This window comes from Homo sapiens, chromosome 15, assembly GCF_000001405.40.
Source record: "Homo sapiens chromosome 15, GRCh38.p14 Primary Assembly".
Lineage (NCBI taxonomy): Eukaryota > Metazoa > Chordata > Mammalia > Primates > Hominidae > Homo > Homo sapiens.
This window is the reverse complement of record NC_000015.10, coordinates 71,062,749-71,064,665: the sequence shown is the minus strand read 5'-3', so window position 1 is coordinate 71,064,665 and position 1,917 is coordinate 71,062,749. Positions and strand designations below refer to the sequence as shown.

The window sequence follows — 1,917 nt, the reverse complement described above, 5'->3', positions numbered from 1 at the left end:
CTTTTTTTTTAAATGAAGGTGAAATAAAGATACTTTCAGATTTAAAAAACCTGGCTGGGCACGGTGGCTCATGCCTGTAATGTCAGCACTTTGGGAGGCCAAGGTGGGCAGATCACGAGGTCAGGAGTCCAAGATCAGCCTAGCTAACATAGTGAAACCCATCTCTACTAAAAATACAAAAAACTTTAGCCAGGCATGATGGTGCACACCATGGGTGTAGTCCCAGCTACTCAGGAGGCTGAGGTAGGAGAATCGCTTGAACCTGGGAAGGGGAGGTTGCAGTGAGCTGAGATCGCGCCACTGCACTCCAGTTTGGCAACAGAGTGAGACTTTGTCTCACAAAAAAAATAAATAAATAAAAAAAACCTGAGTGAGTTCTCCATCACAAGGACAGCACTAAAAATTTCTAAAGGCTATATAATATTTAGACTATAAAAGAGTGATTCCAGAAGGAAGTTCCGAGTTATAAGAAGGAATGAAGAGCAAAATAAGTGGTGAATATATGAGGAGCTCTAAATGATTACTGACTTTAAAAAAACAACAATATCCAATGGGATTGAAATATATTGGATTAAAATACACATTAATAATGCCATGTAGCCTTTCCGCCCCCTAGCACTGCTGGGCCTGCAGGTCTCTGTTGAGCCGCGGACGCGGGTCTTTTGTTCCCCAGGATGTGGTTTGTTAAAGTTGTTAAGAATAAGGCCTACTTTAAGAGATACCAAGTGAAATTTAGAAGACAATGAGAGGGTAAAACTGATTACTAAGTTTGGAAACGCTTGGTGATACAGGATAAAAATAAATACAATACACTCAAATATAGGATGATAGTTCATGTAACAAACAGAGATATCATTTGTCAGATTGCTTACGCCTGTATAGAGGGGGTATGATACTCTGGCCAGCATATGCACACGAACTGCCAAAATATGGTGTGAAGGTTGGCTTGTCAAATTATGCTGCAGCATATTGTACTGGCCTGCTGCTGGCCCGCAGGCTTTTCAATATGTTTGGCATGGACAAGATCTATGAAGCCCAAGTGGAGGTGACTGGCGATGAATACAATGTGGAAAGCATTAATGGTCAGCCAGGTGCCTTTACGTGCTATTTGGATGCAGGCCTTGCCAGAACTACCAGTGGCAATAAAGTTTTTGGTGCCCTGAAGGGGGCTGTGGATGGAGGCTTGTCTATCCCTCATGGTACCAAACGATTCCCTGGTTATGATTCTGAAAGCAAGGAATTTAATGCAGAAGTACACTGGAAGCACATCATGGGCCAGAATGTTGCAGATTATACGTGCTACTTAATGCAAGAAGATGAAGATGCTTACAAGAAACAGTTCTCTCAATACATAAAGAACAGCATAACTCCAGACATGATGGAGGAGATGTGTTAGAAAGCTCATGCTGCTATACAAGAGAATCCAGTCTATGAAAAGAAGCCCAAGAAAAAAAGTTAAAAAGAAGAGGTGGCACTGTCCCAAAATGTCCCTTGCTCAGAAGAAAGATCGGGTAACTCAGAAGAAGGCAAGCTTCCTCAGAGCTCAGGAGTGGGCTGCTGAGAGCTAAACCAAACAATTTTCTATGAGGATTTTTCAGATAAAGACAATAAACTTGTGGACAGCAACTTAAAAAAATGCCACATAGGTTCAACATACACAAATAAATGTGATACACCATATGAATAGAATGAAGCATAAAAACCATATGATCACCTCAATAGACACAGAAAAAGCATTTGATAAAATTCAACATTGCTTCATGATAAAACGTTTCAACAAACTAGGCTTAGAAGGAACAAAACTCGACACAATAAAGGCCATATATGACAAACCCACAGCTAACATCATACTGAATGGGGAAAAGCTGAAATCCTTTCCTCTAAGAGTTGGAACAAGACAAAGATGCCCACTCTTAC

The 1,917-nt window shown here is 40.8% G+C and overlaps 1 pseudogene; it reads left to right on the top strand.

The window, feature by feature from the left end:
* On the top strand, positions 601-1,628 carry RPL5P3 (ribosomal protein L5 pseudogene 3; annotated as a pseudogene).